The sequence below is a fragment of the Homo sapiens genome, chromosome 10 (genome assembly GCF_000001405.40).
Source record: "Homo sapiens chromosome 10, GRCh38.p14 Primary Assembly".
NCBI classification, from domain to species: Eukaryota; Metazoa; Chordata; class Mammalia; order Primates; family Hominidae; genus Homo; species Homo sapiens.
Window position 1 is genome coordinate 50,033,937 of NC_000010.11, and position 16,130 is coordinate 50,050,066.

At 41.6% G+C, this 16,130-nt stretch overlaps 1 pseudogene across 1 annotated transcript in view; it reads right to left on the reverse strand.

Moving 5' to 3' along the window:
• Positions 1-16,130, reverse strand: part of FAM21EP (family with sequence similarity 21 member E, pseudogene) — a 46,622-nt pseudogene that overhangs the window by 12,755 nt on the left and 17,737 nt on the right. The window contains exon 6 of the transcript NR_038275.2: positions 14,266-14,397. The product of NR_038275.2 is annotated as a family with sequence similarity 21 member E, pseudogene (transcript). The remainder of the gene's footprint in view (positions 1-14,265; positions 14,398-16,130) is intronic.

The window sequence follows — 16,130 nt, forward strand, 5'->3', positions numbered from 1 at the left end:
AACCCAAAACTCACCCCTTGATTCCTCCTGCTGTGCAGGCTGGGACAATCAACTCCAGTTCCCTGAGCCTCAGTTTATTTATGTGTAAGATGGGCATGTACTAATGGAACCTCTCAATGAGCATGCCAGGAGGATTCATATAACAGAAAATACATGCAAAGACTTTTGCTGGGAACTCGGCACCTGCACAGGGCCCTCAATTATGTGGGCTGTTGGTGTCATTTCCATGGAACCAAAGAGACTATAGCCACAGAACTCCTCCTTGCTGACAGCTGGTGGGGCTGGTGTTGGCTTTGTTCACTGAGCATTTCCAGTGCTCGGCATTCACTGTGCACTGTAAACATTCTCTAAGCATCATGGACAAGTGAACAAAACAGAGCCCCTCTACAGGTGTCCAGCACCCTTTGGGGAATCAGAGGAGAAAACAGGTGTTTGCAACCCTGTGTGATGGGCACATGTGCTGTAGGAGCCCAGGGAGAAACAAACTGGCTAAAATGGGCACGTGAGGGGCTCCTCAGAGGCAGCTACACTTGTGTCCTTGCAGGAACCCTGCTGAGCCCGATTCTGGAACAGATCAGGACAGGAAGAGCTTTCAAAGAGTTTCTGTTTCAATATTCTTTTCATTGCTAGGAAACTGAGGCTGAGAAAGGGTTAGGAACTGGCTCAGGGTCTGTGGTGGGAGTGGGATTTGAATGCTGTCCGACCTTGAAACCTGTGTTAGTATGAATCCTCCCAGAAGCAGACACCAAGTTAGGATGAGATCAGCAGAGATTTATTGGGGATGCACGTGTGCAGGTTAAGAGAGGGGCCAGGAGTGATCAGGGAGAGCCTTCAGACTGCCATGTGAGAGGGGAGAGGGGGAAGGAAGGAAGGTAGGGCAGGAGGAGTCCGAGACACAGCACAGCTCTAGGAACGTTTGGCCGGATCAGTTGGGAGTCTCTGGTGGACTATTGACTGTTAGAGGATTCCCTTGTCCTGCAGGAACAGGTGGCACTAGTACCCTGGCATGCTCGGTTCTGGCTGGGAGCAGCCTATAGGAAGTGTGGCCTCAGTGCCCAGGCTGGAGTGCAGTGGTGCAATCACGGCTTACCACAGCCTTGACCTCTTGGGCTGAATTTGTTCTTCCACCTCAGCATCCTGGGTAGCTGGGACCACAGGCATGTGTAACCATGCCCAGCTAATCTTTTATTTCTTATAGAAGGTCTTGTTGTGTTACCCAGGCTGGACTCAAACTCCTGGACTCAAGCAATCCACCCTCCTCGGCATCCCAAAGTTCTGGGATTACAGATGTGAGCCACTGGGCCCGACCGGTTGGTTGTATTTCTATTGGATAGTGCTGGTCTAACACAGGTTTTCTCAGCCGCAGCACTGTTGACATTTGGGGCTGAATCATTCTTTGTGTTGAGGGTGGTCTTGTATATTCTACAGTGTTCAGGAGCCTCCCCGGCCTCCAGCTACTAGATGTCAGTAGCACCTAGTTAATCCTCAAGGCATGGCAACCTGAAGTTTCTCCAGACATCGACAGAATCATGTAGCCACAAGAGCCTGTGGCTTACCACATGCCAAGCACTGGTATTAAGGACAGGGTGTTAGGGATACAAACAGGGAACGAATAGTCCTGCCTATGTGGCACTTACTTTAGTGGGAAGTAGAGACAATGAATAAGTAAATATACATTGCCCCTGGCAACAAGTGTGGTGGTAAACAGTGAAACAGGAAAGGGGACCAGGAGCACACGGTGGTATGTGCTAGCAGGCCTCCTGTTGTGTGTATTTCATCAGGGAGGCCTCACAGAGAAATTGAAGAGTGAGGAAACAAGCTGGATTCTGAGACCAGTGTTTGAAAAAGTGGCAGGGGCCAGTGCAAAGACCCAGTGGTGCACATCACTGAAAACAAGGAAGGAGATCTCTATGTAGTGACATGAAAAGACTATTAATTAGGGAAGAATTTGGAAAGGGGGGGCCTTGAACTTAAACTAGGACAAATGATACACATCTTTCTGGTGAGGTGGGTAAACCTTTTTAAAAATAGCTTTACTGAGGGCCAGGTGAAGTGGCTCACATCTGTAATCCCAGCACTTTGGGAAGCTGAGGTATTTGAATCACCTGAGGTCAGGAGTTAGAGACTAGCCTGGCCAACATGGCAAAACCCAGTCTCTACCAAAAAATATGAAAATTAGCTGGGCATGGTGATGCATGCCTGTAGTTCCAGCTACTCGGGAGGCTGAGGCAGGAGAATCGCTTGAGTCCAGAAGGCAGAGGTTACAATGAGCTGACATCACGCCACTGCAGTCCAACCTGGGTGACAGAGCAAGACTCCATCTCAAAAAAAGTAAGAAAAAAGCTTTATTGAAATATAATTCACGTGCCATAAAAGTCACTCATTTAAAGCCCAAAATTCAATGGTTTTTATTACGTACATAGAGTTGTGCAACAGTCACCACATTTGCTTTAGAAAATTTTCATCACCTCTAAAAGGAACCCCATACCCTGTAACCATCACTCCCAAATTCCCCCAGTCCCCCACTCAACCCTAGGCAACCATTAATCTATTTTCTGTCTTCAAATTGGTCTATTACATTTCACATAAATAGAATCATATGTGATTTTTTTGTGACTGGCTTCTTTCACTTAGCATAATGTTTTCAAAGTTCATCATGTTCTAGGATATATCAGTACTTCACTCCTTTTTATTGCTGAATAATAGTCCCTTGTAGCAATATATCTCATGTTGTTTATCCATCCATCAGTTGATGAGCATTTGAGTTGTTTCCAATTTTGGGCTGTTACATATAATACTAAGAATAACATTCAACTGCAAGTTTTTGTGTAAACATATGTTTTTCTTTCTCTTTGAAGTAGCTTTGCTGGGTTATGTGGTAACTCTTATGTTTAGCAAATTGTGGCACTACCAAACTTTTCTAAATGGTATGGATCATTTTACAGTCCCATCAACAATGAATGAGGTTGCCAATTTCTTCACACCCTTGCCAATACTTCTGTCTTTTTTATTAAAGCTATCCTAGTGGGTGTGAAGTAGTATCTCATTGCGGTTGTGATTTCCATTTCTTTAAAAACTAATGATACTGAGCATCTTTTTAATGTGATCATTGGCCATTTGCATACATTCTTTGGAGAAATGCCTATTCACATATTTTGTCTATTTTTAATTGGATTTTTTATTGAGTTTTATGAGTTTTTATATTACATATTCTAGATAAAAACACTAACGGATATATAAATGGCAAATATTTTCTCTCAGTTTGCGGGTTGCTTTTTAACTTTCTTGATGGTGTCTTTTGAGACACAAAAGTTTTACTTTTGGTAAAGTCTAATTTGGCTATTTTTCTTTTGTCGTACTTCAAAAGCTTGGCCTAACCCACAGTAGTAAGATTGACTTATATATTTTTTCTAAGAATTGTATAGTTTTAGCTCTTATATTTAGGTGTGTTGTCCAATTACAATTTAGTTTTGTGTATGGTGAGAGGTAGGGTCTAACTTTATTCTTTTGTCTGTGGATAAATAGTTGTTCCAGTATCATTTGCCAGAAAAACCATTCTTTCCCAATTGAATTGTCTTGGATCCTGGTTAAAAATCCATTTTTTGTAAATGTGAAGGTTTATTTCCAGACTCTTCATGCTACTGATCTACCTATGCCAGCACCACCCTATCTTAATTACTGCAGCTTTGTATTAAGTTCTGAAATTAGGAAGTGTGAGTCCTCCAATTTGTTCTTCTCTTTTTAGATTGTTGGCTATTCTGAGCTCCTTGAATTGCCATAAGAATTTTAAGTATGCCAATTTTGCAAAAATGTTAGCTGGGATTTTGACAGGGATTGTATTAAGTCTGTAGATTTGGAGAGTATTGCAATCTTAATACTAAGACTTCTAATCCATAAATATCTACTATTTTTCAGTTTATATCTAATTTATTTCAAAAATGTTTTACAATTTTTAGAGTACAAGTTTTGTTCTCTTTTTTTAAATTTATTCCTAAGTATTTTATTCCTTTAAATGCTATTATAAATGGAATCACTGTCTTAATTAATTTCAGATTGCTCATTGCTAGTGTATAGAAACACAACTGATTTTAATGTATCGATCTTGTGCACTGCAACTGTGCTGAACTGTTTATTTAGTTCATTTAGTTATTTAGTTCTTCCTAAAGATCTACTATATAAAAGCTTTATATACAAGATCATGTCATTTACAAATAGAGCTTTACTTCTCCCTTTCTAATCTATATGCTCTTTTATTCCCCCCACTTTTTTTTGAGAGAGAGTCTCATGCCAGTCTTGCCCAGACTGGAGTACAATGGCACAATCTCAGCTCACTGCAACCTCTGCCTACTGGGTTCAAGCGATTCTCCTGCCTCAGCCTCCCAAGTGGCTGGGATTACAGGCATCTGCCACCATGCCAGGCAAATCTGTGTATTTTTAGTAGAGATGGGGTTTCACTAAGTTGGCCAGGTTGGTCTCGAACTCCTGACCTCAGGTGATCCACCTGCTTTGGCCTCCCAAGTGCTGGGATTACAGGCGTGAGCCACCATGCCCTTCTTATTTCCCTTTCTTGCCTAATTGCCCTGCTCTAGAACCTTCATTACAAGATTGAATAAAAGTGGTGAGACTGGACATCCTTGTCTTATTCCTGACTGTAGAAGGAAACCATTAGGTATAACATTAACCGTGGGGTTTTTATAGATAACCATTTATCAGGTTGAGGAGCTTCCCTTCTATTCCTACTTTAGGTGGGTTTTCTTTTTAGTCAAGAAGGGGTGTGAATTTTGTCCAATGCTTTTTTCAGAAAGTGTCTATTGAAATCATCATGTGGTTTTCTTTCTTCTTTTATTCATATATTACATTAATTTTTGTGTGTCAAATGAATCTTGCATTACTGGGATAAATCCTATTTGTACATGGTATGTAATCCTTTACAAATGTTGATGGATTTGGTCTGGAAGTATTTCCTCAGGATCTCTGTGTCTATAATCATAAGAGATGATCTGTAGCTTTCTTTATGTCTGTCTGGATTTGGTATCAGGGTAATATTGGCCTTATAGGATGAGTTGGGAAGTGTTTCTGACATGGGTAAATTTTTAAATGTATTTCAGGATAGGCAAAGCCTCAGAGTGGGAGAAGGATATCAGTAAGTAAACCTAGGTGAACAGAAAGTGAACACTATGAAAGTGCAAGCATCAGAGAAATGTGCCATACATAAATTTTTTTTACAATTTTTTCTACCAAAGGATATGAGATATCACTGAACTCACTACAATATAAGCATGTTTAAAGAAGCAGTTCTTTTTAAAGATGGTGGTTTTGTTAGTAATCTCCACTCCATAAGCATGATATTCCAGAGGCATCTGAAATCCAATATACTCAAAACTTATAATTTTTCCCACAAACCTCCTGCTTTCCTGTAGTCCCCATCTTGGTAAAGAGATGCCTTTCATGCCATCACTCAAAATGATCTGTCAATAATTTTGGATTTTCCCCCAACCCCATGACACCTAGAAATGACCAATTCTAGACAATATGACTTCCTAATATTGTTTTTTGTTTGTTTGTTTGTTTTTGAAACACAGTCTTGCTTTGTCACCCAGGCTGGAGTGCAGTGGCGCGATCTCGGCTCACTGCAACCTCCACCTCCCCAGTTCAAGAGATTCTCCTGCCTCAGCCTCCTGAGTAGCTGGGACTAAAGGCACGCACCACCACGCCTGGCTAATTTTTGTATTTTTAGTACAGATGGGGTTTCACCATATTGGCCAGGCTGGTCTCGAACTCCTGACCTTGTGATCTGCCTGTCTCGGCCTCCCAAAGTGCTGGGATTACAGGTGTTAGCCACTGGGCCCAGCCTCTTAATATTGTTTATATCTGACACCCACTCCATCTACAATGATTAGGGCTTAATTTAGGGCTTCATTAGCTCTCAACTGAGCAATTTTCATGGCCTAGTTTTGATCCTCGATTCTTGCCTTTCACTCTTTCAACCCATCTGTCCATGAAGCCAGTTTTAATTTCAATTTTGAAAAAATGTTTATGAAAACTAGATTAGGGTATCATATTTTTACATTATTCAGCAATGATGTTTAAGCAAGCAGAGAAGTCACACAAAGTTCTAAAATAATTTTATGTTTGACTTTAGAATGCATTGCAATGAAACCTCAACAATGAAGGAACTAAATGAGGGAAATGAACTAAGTTAGTCTAAACATGAAAAGGTTCCTTTTTGAATAGATTTCATTTTTTGAGCAGCAGAACTGAGCAGAAATTACAGAGTTCCTATATGACCCTCACTCCCACAGCCTTCTCCTATCACAACCTGCACCAGAGTGGTACATTTATTACAACTGATGAACCCCACAGTGACACATCATTTTCACACATAAATAGAAGTTTGTAATTTACATTAGGGTTCACTCTTGACGGATTTGAACTAATGCATAATGACGTGTATTCACCATTACAGTACCACACAGAATACATACACTGTGCTACAAATCCTCTGTGCTTTGCCTATTCATTCCTCTCTCCCCTCAGATCCTGGCAAACACTACACTTTTTACCATCTCCATACTTTTACCTTTTCCAGACATAATTCGGGATTTTATAGTATACGGCCTTTTCAGATTGGCTTCTTTCACTTAGTAACACACACTTAAGATTCTTCCATGTCTTTTCATGGGTTGATATAGCTCATTTCTTTTTGGTGCTGAATAACAGTCCATTGTCTGGGTATAGTACAGAGTTTATTAATACATTCATCTACTGAAGGACATCTTGGTTGCTTCCAAGTTTTGGCAATTGTGAAAAAAGCTTCCATACACATCTGTATGCAGGTTTTTGTGTGAACATGTTTTCTACTCACTTGGGCAAATTCCAAGGAGCATAATTGCTGGATCATACAGTAAGAATATGTAAGAAGTTGCCAAACAATCCTCCAAAGTACCATTTTGTATTCCCACTGGCAGTGAATGAGAGTTCCTGTTGCTCCCCATCTTCCCCAGCTTTGGTGTTGTCAGTGTTTTGGATTTCAGCCATTGTAACAGTCATGTAATAGTACGTCACTGCTGTTTTAATTTGTATTTCCCTAATGACACATAATGTGGAGCACAGTTATCTTTTGAAAATGTAGAACTGATCATGTTATTTCTTGCCTCAAGGTCCTATAATGACTTCTCCCTGTCTATAGAATATAATTCAGACTCCTTAGAAATGCTCCCAAGATTATGCATCTCACATTCCGGCCCCATTTTACTCATCTACAACCTCACCTCATCTTGCAACATCTCTGGTACTTCTATCCTCTAATCATCTGCATCTGCAGCTTCAGAACACATCAGCTTCTATATTGTTGCTCCTGCTCTGCTCTACTTACTATCTTGTGCACACATGGTTACCTGACAAGCACCTAATCACCTTTCAACATTCAGCTCCAATATCAACTATTCCACAAAGCTTTTATACCTACCCCCTTTACACTACTACCTACATCATATATTGCACCCATAACAATTTCTTTATTTTATTATTTCTTTATTTATTGAGACGGAGTCTCTCTCTGTCACCCAGGCTGGAGTGCAGTGGCATGATCTTGACTCACTGCAAGCTCCGCCTCCCAGGTTCATGCCATTCTCCTGCCTCAGCCTCCCGAGTAGCTGGGATTACAGGCGCCTGCCACCACGCGTGGCTAATTTTTTATATTTTTAGTAGAGATGGGGTTTCACCATGTTAACCAGAATAGTATCAAATTCCTGACCTCGTGATCTGCCCACCTTGGCCTCCCAAAGTGCTGGGATTACAGGCATGAGCCACTGTGTCCAGCCCCTAACAATTTCATTTTTAACTAAACTGAAGGGAGCACATCTGATCTCTACCACCTAGCACAGTCTTTTGCACATATTGGTACTCATTAAAGCTTTGTTCAAGGAAAGAATAGATATTTTAGTCTTTCAATTGATCCTCAGAACAAACCTGTGCTATAGGTAAGGTATTCTCCAAGTTTTAGACATTAATAAATATTTGGTTATCCTCTGTGTTAGCCTGTTCATATTGCTATAAAGGAATACCTGAGACTGGGCAATTTATAAAGAAAAGAGTTTTATTTTGGCTCACAGTTCCGTAGAGTGTACAAGGAGTATAATGCTGGTATCTGCTTCTGGTGAGGGCCTCAGGAAGTTTACAATCATGGCAAGAGGAAAGGAGCCAGCATGTTACATGGTGAGAGAACAAGAGAGAGAGAAGAAAGAGGTGCCAGGTTGTGTTTATTTGTTTGTTTAAGACAGAGTCTTGCTCTGTCACCCAGGCTGGAGTGCAGTGGCGCGATCTCAGCTCACTGCAACATCTGCCTCCTGGGTTCAAGCGATTCTCCTGCCTCAGCCTCCTGAGTAGCTGGGACTACAGATACGTGCCACCACACCTGGCTAATTTTTGTATTTTTAGTAGAGATAGGGTTTCAAGATGTTGGCCAGGATGGTCTCCATCTCCTGAAATTGTGATCTGCCAGCCTCAGCCTCCCAAAGTGCTGAGATTACAGGCATGAGCCACCATGCCTAGCCCCCAGGTTCTTTTAATCCAGATCTCATGTGAAATCAGAGTGAGAACTCATTCATTACCACAAGGGCAGCACCAAGACATTCATGAGGATCCACCCCCATGACCCAAACACCTCCCACTAGGCCCACTTCCGATACTGGCGGTCAGATTTCAACATGAGATTTGGAGGGGACAAAACATCCAAGCCATATCATGCTCCAAAAGTTTGTTTAGAGGGATGTTGGCTTCTCACAGGAATCCCATTCTGATTCACTCCAAATGAAGTCCATCAATGTTTATCCAACTCATAACATACATGCACATACAGGAATCTGCTATGAGTTTTTATAATATTAATAGGAAAGATAATTAATTTGGGAATCTGAATTGCATTGTTCAAACTTCTAGTGATCCTAAAGGGAGGGCATTACAGAAAGGAAAGTTGTTTCTTGTAGCATAGCTCTTTTGAGTGTTGTTGCACCACATTTCAAAATGATGGGTATTAGAGTAATACAAGGTACCAGGCTAATAATACTGCTGGTGATAGTGGTAAAGGGTCATTGCTCTTAAATAAAAGCTAAATTTAAAAGCTGCATTGCTTATATATGACTTTGTATGGAGCTCTCTAAACTTAACCCCCTTTCTTTCACTCATTCAAACAACTGCTTTTATAATTTTGGATAACATGAATTCTTAAAAACATACTTATGCTATATCAAATAAGACTGTCCTATAGGGTCACCAGTGTGTGTATCCCCGAAGCCAACAGTACTCCTACCTACATAGTTGCGGCTCTAGCAACAGAAGTCAGGTGTCAGGACTGCAAAATGCACATGACAGAAATAAAGACATGAGTGACTATGACTGCCAAAGGAATCTGGATTGTTTCCTTCACCACAGTGTTCTTCCATAGTGAGACCCTGAAAATAATAGGCTGGGGGAGGGTAGAAGATAACAAACAGATTTGCAAGTCCTTCACCTATAATGAGAATGGATAATTCAATTATATGCCAGAAGAAAAAGCACAACCCCGTTCAGTATTAATTGTGCTGGAACTTCCACCATAAGTCTGGGTCCAGTCAATGGGGTAATTTCCAATATCCTAAAAGAACTAAGATTGATAACCAAAAGGAAAATGTTTCCCTCTAGAAGATAGTTATGCTTCTCCTCAGGAGTAGAAATCACTGTAGCAGAGGACAAAATGAGGCCATGAAATCTGGTTAAGCCAGACTGGATGCCTAGAGGGTAGCTGAGGAACAAATGGAAGCTGCAGCAGGACAAAGACCCAGCCAGTACTAAAAGCTGGGTCCATGAACAGCTTCTTGAAATGGTGTGTGGTCGTGCTTAGCTGAGCATGCTGTGGGACTCATGATGTTGGAAAATGAGGGGGCAATGAAGACTTAAAGATGGGATGGAAAAACAGCTAAAAAAAACAAAACAGAAGGGGAACAAGAAACAAAACAGAAAAAAAGCTGGCCACGGTAGCTCATGCCTGTAATCCCAGCAATTCAGGAGGCCAAGGTGGGAGAATCACTTGAGGTAAGAAGGTTGAGACCAGCCTGGGCAACATAGCAAGATCCTTGTCTCTACAAAATTAAAAAAAAAATTAGCTGGGCATGATGGCACACATCTGTAGTCCCAGCCATTCAGGAGGCTAAGGTGGGAGGATCACTGGAGTCCTGGAGCTCAAAGGTGCAGCAAGGTATGATTATGCCACCGCACCCCAGCCTGGGCAACACAACCAGACCTTGTCTCAGAAAAAAAACAAAAAAAAATGGGGGCAGGTAGAGAAAAAAGTATTTCCAGAATTTTTTACAATTAAAACATATATCTAGCTATTAAAAGTAATGACAGCAAAAAGATTTCCAAATCAATTCCCAAAGCATTTCTCTCATCTCTTCTGAAAACGTCTGAAAAGACAACTATAAAGATGAAATAGAAGTTAAAGCTAAACAAGGCAATAGCGCTAAATATGTAATTTCAGTAACTCAGAATTTGCTCCATCCTCTGCTCTAAAAAAGCTTAGCTACAGAAGAGCAGTTACCTTTGAAACTTTTTCCCCAACATAAAGATATCCAGAATGTGAAGCTGCCATTAAAAATATTGCCATAGGCTGGGCGCAGTGTCTCATGCCTGTAAACCCAGCACTTTGGGAGGCTGAGGCATGTGGATCACAAGGTCAGGAGATTGAGACCATCCTGGCTAACACGGTGAAACCCCATCTCTACTAAAAACACAAAAAAATGAGCCAGGCACGGTGACAGGCACCTGTAGTCACAGCTATTTGGGAGGCTGAGGCAGGAGAATGGAGTGAACCCAGCAGGCGGAGCTTGCAGTGAACAGAGATCACGCCACTGCACTCCAGCCTGGGGGACAGAGCGAGACTCTGTCTCAAAAAAAAAAAAAAAAAAAAAAAGTCCAATGGCAATTTAGATTATAAAACATGGGAAGTAAAATAAAACTTATATTTGTTAAACTAAGTTGTATTTAAACTAAGTATTAAACTTAGTGCATCAGTCTTGAAGAAAGCTCATGCCTAAGACTTTCCTTTGAACTCAAATCTAGACAGCTGGGCTCTCTGACCTCACAGAGCTTCCCATGATTTCTTCCTCCAACATCTGCCATGATATCTCTTCCTACTGTGGTTCTGCACTATATTACGACAAGCGACTTGTTTATTTCAAGGGATCAACATTAATTACAGAGGCTATAAGGAAGCCGAATGTAAAAATACCAAGAACTCAAAAACTTCCAACTCCAGAGAAGAATGACATTTTAATTCTAAAAATCCTAAAGCAGATTGAAAAAAAAAGTGTAAAAACTCATGCAACACACATGTGAACAAGACACAATGAAAAACTGCTAGTAATCCTTTTACCACAAGTCTGAATGTGGCCTTTAGAAAGCATTTAGGGAAATTCTACTCGACTGTGCTCACACCCCTTCAAATCAAAGAACTCCCAAGCACTTGCATAAGTGCTGTATCTCTGGAGTCTAGAGTCTTACAAATCAAAGTGGAGTCCACAAGCCAGCAGCAGATTATGCAGAATTTCAGGCCCCGCCCCTATTTTCTGAGTCAGAACCTGCATTTCACAGGGTGCCCAGGTGATTTCCTAAACATGAAGGTTTGAGAAGTGCTCCTCAATGTTTAGCAGTGACTAAATGCTGAAATCCACTAGAGAGCATCACAAAACTCCAATGACGAGGCTGTACCCCAACCAGATTAATTCAGAATCTCTGGAGCTGGGATCCACTGTCAGCACTCATTAGGTCTTTTCTTTTTATTTTTTTTCCTTTTTTGAGACAGAGTCTCGCTCTGTGGCCCTGGCTGCAGTGCAGTGGCACGATCTTGGCTCACTGCAACCTCTGCCTCCCAGGTTCCAGTGATTCTCCTGCTTCAGCCTCCTGAGTAGCTGGGATTACAGGCAGGCACCACCACGCCCAGATAATTTCTATATTTTTTAGTAGAGACGGAGTTTCGCCATGTTGGCCAGCCTGGTCTCAAACTCCTAATCTCAGGTGATCTGCCCACCTCTGCCTCCCAGACTGCTGGGATTACAGGCGTGAGCCACTGTGCCTGGCCTGTCAGCACTCTTTTAAGTTCCCCATGGATCCCAGTGAGCAGCCGAAGTTGACAGCCTTTGTTCTAGGACAAGCTTGTCCAACCCGTGGCCCATGGGCCACACACAGCCCAGTATGGCTTTGAATGCGGCCCACCACAAATCTGTAAACTTTCTTAAAACATTATGGGATTTATGCATGAACCTTTTTTTTTTTTTTTTTTTAGTTCATCAGCTATTGTTAGTATTAGTGCATTTTATGTGTGACCCAAGACAATTCTTCTTCTTCCAGTGTGGGCCAGGGAAGCCAAAAGACTGGACGCCCCTGTTCTAGAACCTTGGCTATCTTTCCTCTGCATATCTTTTTGCTCCAAGCTTTAGGTAATGTTTTTATTTTCCCTGAACCACTATAATACTCTAGTAGGAGCAACTACACTGATGTCTGGCTGTTGCTACAGGGGGAACAATCACTGACAATGTTTAAAAGAAAAAAACTGGATAATCCATCATAAATTCATATGTTCGAGTAGAAAACACAAATTATATATGCTTGGGAATTCCTTGATGTGGAAATGTGAGCACAGCTGGGTGGGAATTCCTTAAATGCTTTCTAAAGGCCAGAGTCAGACTTTTGTAGTAAAAGGATTGCTAGCAGTTTTTCGTTGTGTCTTGTTCACATGTGTGTTGCATAAGCTTTTCTCTCTTTTTTTTTTTTTGAGACGGAGTTTCGCTCGTTGCCCAGGCTGGAGTGCAATGGCGCGATCTCGGCTCACAACAACCTCCGTCTCCTGGGTTCAAGTTATTCTCCTGCCTCAGCCTCCTGAGTAGTTGGGATTACAGGCATGCGCCACCACAAGCTGCTAATTTTTTTGTATTTTTAATAGAGACAAGGTTTCTCCATGTCAGGCTGGTTCCGAACTCCCAACCTCAAGTGATCTGCCTGCCTCAGACTCTCAAAGTGCTGGGATTACAGACGTGAGCCTCCACGCCCAGCCGCATAAGCTTTTAATACATTTTTTTTGCAATCTGCTTCGGAATTTTTAAATTGCTTTCAGTAAGAACATGAACATATCTATGACTTATATATCCACTTCACCCGCTCCTAACTTGCCTACAATGTTAAAAAAAAGAGGAATTATTATAACACAGGAAGATGTTTAACACTGAGGATTTTTTATGTCATCATATTTAAAGTCTTTTTCTGCACAGCTAAATCTGATTCCCTGCTACTAAATCTGATTGAGTTAGCAACTAAACTAACTGATTTGGTAGTATCTATCCAGATCACAAACAGAAATATTGTTAAGACTCCCTCAAAAAGGAGTTTAACCTCAATATGTAACTCCTCCTAACTATAGTTCTAAATTAATGAAACACAGTAGTCATTTAACAAGATACTAGTATATATGGCCATTGGGGTATACGGGACATGCTACCTCAAAATATGACACCTTGGCATTTGAGAAAACAGAAGCAGAAAGATGTCTCTGACCTCTCCCTGGCCCTTCTCCTCTGAAGGAGGACATAGAAGAATCCTCTAACCCTCTCTGGAGTAGGTCATAAGACCTTCATTCCAGTCCTCCCTATTCCCAGAGGAAAGGAGCCTCCTTATTTGTAAAGATGCAGAGAATGATCTGACCACACAGGCCTTGCTGAGCTCCCCCCAGCTTATTCCCATCAGGTCACACCCCTTTCATCTAATCGTGCTCCCCAAAACTGTCCGCTTCTTCATCAGACAGCATCAAATTGACACAGGATTTCCTGTTTCTCTTGAGTTTTTCTTTCTGAAGGCTCCTGTGTCTGGTAAAACTTATCTTACGTAAACTTGCACACTTTTCTCTGGTTAATCTGTCATTTGTTCTAAGGGACTCAACCATGAACCTAGCGATGGCTGAGAAATCATTTCCCCCCTAGCTGGCCTAACTCATTTGAAGGAGCATACACTATCGTGTGGGAGTCATACTTATTCCTAACCATTTTGAAGAGATTCATCTTTAAATTAATATATTACATTAAATGTCTTCCGTCAGAAAAGACAATCTTGTGAACATCACCTTTGGTGACTGAACATCACGAGATATAAAACAGGTAGAAAAAGAAAATATTTGGGGTGGCTTTAACTCTTAAATCCCATGAAATAATCCCCTCTTCTTTAGCAGAAACCTCAGCTCACCTCCTCATCACTGCTGAACAACAGGGCAGATGCTTTCTTTTTGGAGAGCTCGGAGGCTTTTGCTTTCTCTTCTCTCTGAGCTTGTAGACACAATGTCTGCCTCTTAGCAGCTGTACGCCCAAAAAGATTATCCTAGAAAAGCAAATGGCAGAAAGGTAAGACAACTTTATAATCAGAAAACATAGGATGTCCTCCTATATCAAACTGTTAGGAAGTAAGTCTCCAGTCAGGTATACAAATAACAACTCTGGCGGGGAAAAACCGTAAAATGCTAGTAAATCCCAAACTACAGCCTTTTCTCACTGCACCCATAGAAGGGAAAGAGGTTACCATAGAACTCAAAGGCAGAACAGCTGCGAATAAGCAGGAGAACAACATGCGAATGAGATCACAAAGTACAAGGAGAAACTGAGCCCCATCCAGTCACCCTGTGGGCAAGTGCCTCTCTGCTCATTTCAGGGGGTTACAGCCTGCAACGGGCATGGGAGCCCCTGCAGCAGCCAGAAACTCACACAGTCCTCTCCATGAATGAGAAACCAGAACAATGGCTCAAAGGAGAGAACTGGGGGTCTGTCTCCACTCCTTTACAGGTCAGAAAGACACACACCTGGGATGGAGGGAAGGCATGACTTGTGTTTCTCATTAGTTTCAAAGAGATTATACAAATTGGAGAAATAGTTTACTAAATAAAATTGCTGGTGTACTAAGTTTAATGGCATTTGTAAATTCTTCTGTGGTCAAGCACTCCCCAAAAGTTATATTTCTTAAGGTGCTTTTATTCAGGTAAGGGGAACAAAAGCATCAGAGGGCCTGAGTCTGAGTTAGGATGGACAAACTCTTAACAGCAGGTGAACAGCCCTGGAATGTGAAGATGGATGAAGGGAGTGTCTTCCTGAATGAAGTCTCCTTTAAGGAGAGTGCGGTAATGTAGGACAGGCCAGGAGAATAATGAGCTGGTGTCCATTGGGGATGCTAATGACAGAGCTCACATTCACTATGCACTTATTATGTGCCGGCACTCTGCAAGAGCTTCACACTAGTAGTTACAGCTGCCACAGTGACCCTACTCACTGTTAAGCCACATGAGCTTAAGGAAGGTTAAGTTACTTGCCCCAGGTCCCTGGTTTGCAAGTGGTGGAGCTGGGATATGAACCCAGGGGTCTGATGGCAAAGCCTCTGAGCTCACCACTGCCCAGTACTGCATGAGAGTTAAGGTTTGGGTTGTCTTCTCTCTTATTTCTCTTCCCCACTGTGCTCTCTCCAGCCAGGATGGGAAACAAAGGCAATGGTCAGGACATGGCTGCCTTCTCCTTTGTATCTCCACTTGATCCAAAACATTCTTGTAGGTCATTGGGTATATGTTGATCCATCCTCTAGACTAAAGTACAGCTGACCCTGAATGACACAGGTTTGAGCTGCACAGGTCCACTTCTACACAAATGTTTTCTCAGTAATATGCTGAAAATTTTTTTGACATTTGCAGCAATTTGAAAAATCTTGCAGACAAACCACTTAGCCTAGAAATATCAAAAAAAAAATAAGGAAATGCTAGATATGTCAGGAATACAAAAATATATAAATAGATACTATACTATTTATAGGTTAATCAACTGTTTGTGTTACCCATGAGGCCTCTGGTTAACAGTAAGGTGTCAGTAGATAAGTTTTTGGGAAGTAAGAAGTTATATATGGATTTTTCACTGCAATGTGGAAGCCAAAACAACCTCCTCACTGTTAAAGGGTCAATCGTATTTCTCAAAGGAAAATTTCTAAAAATAAAACCTGTAGATTTCACTCCATGAGAAATGTGTCAAGAGGCCAGGCACAGTGGCTCATACCTGTAATCCTAGCACTTAGGGAGGCCG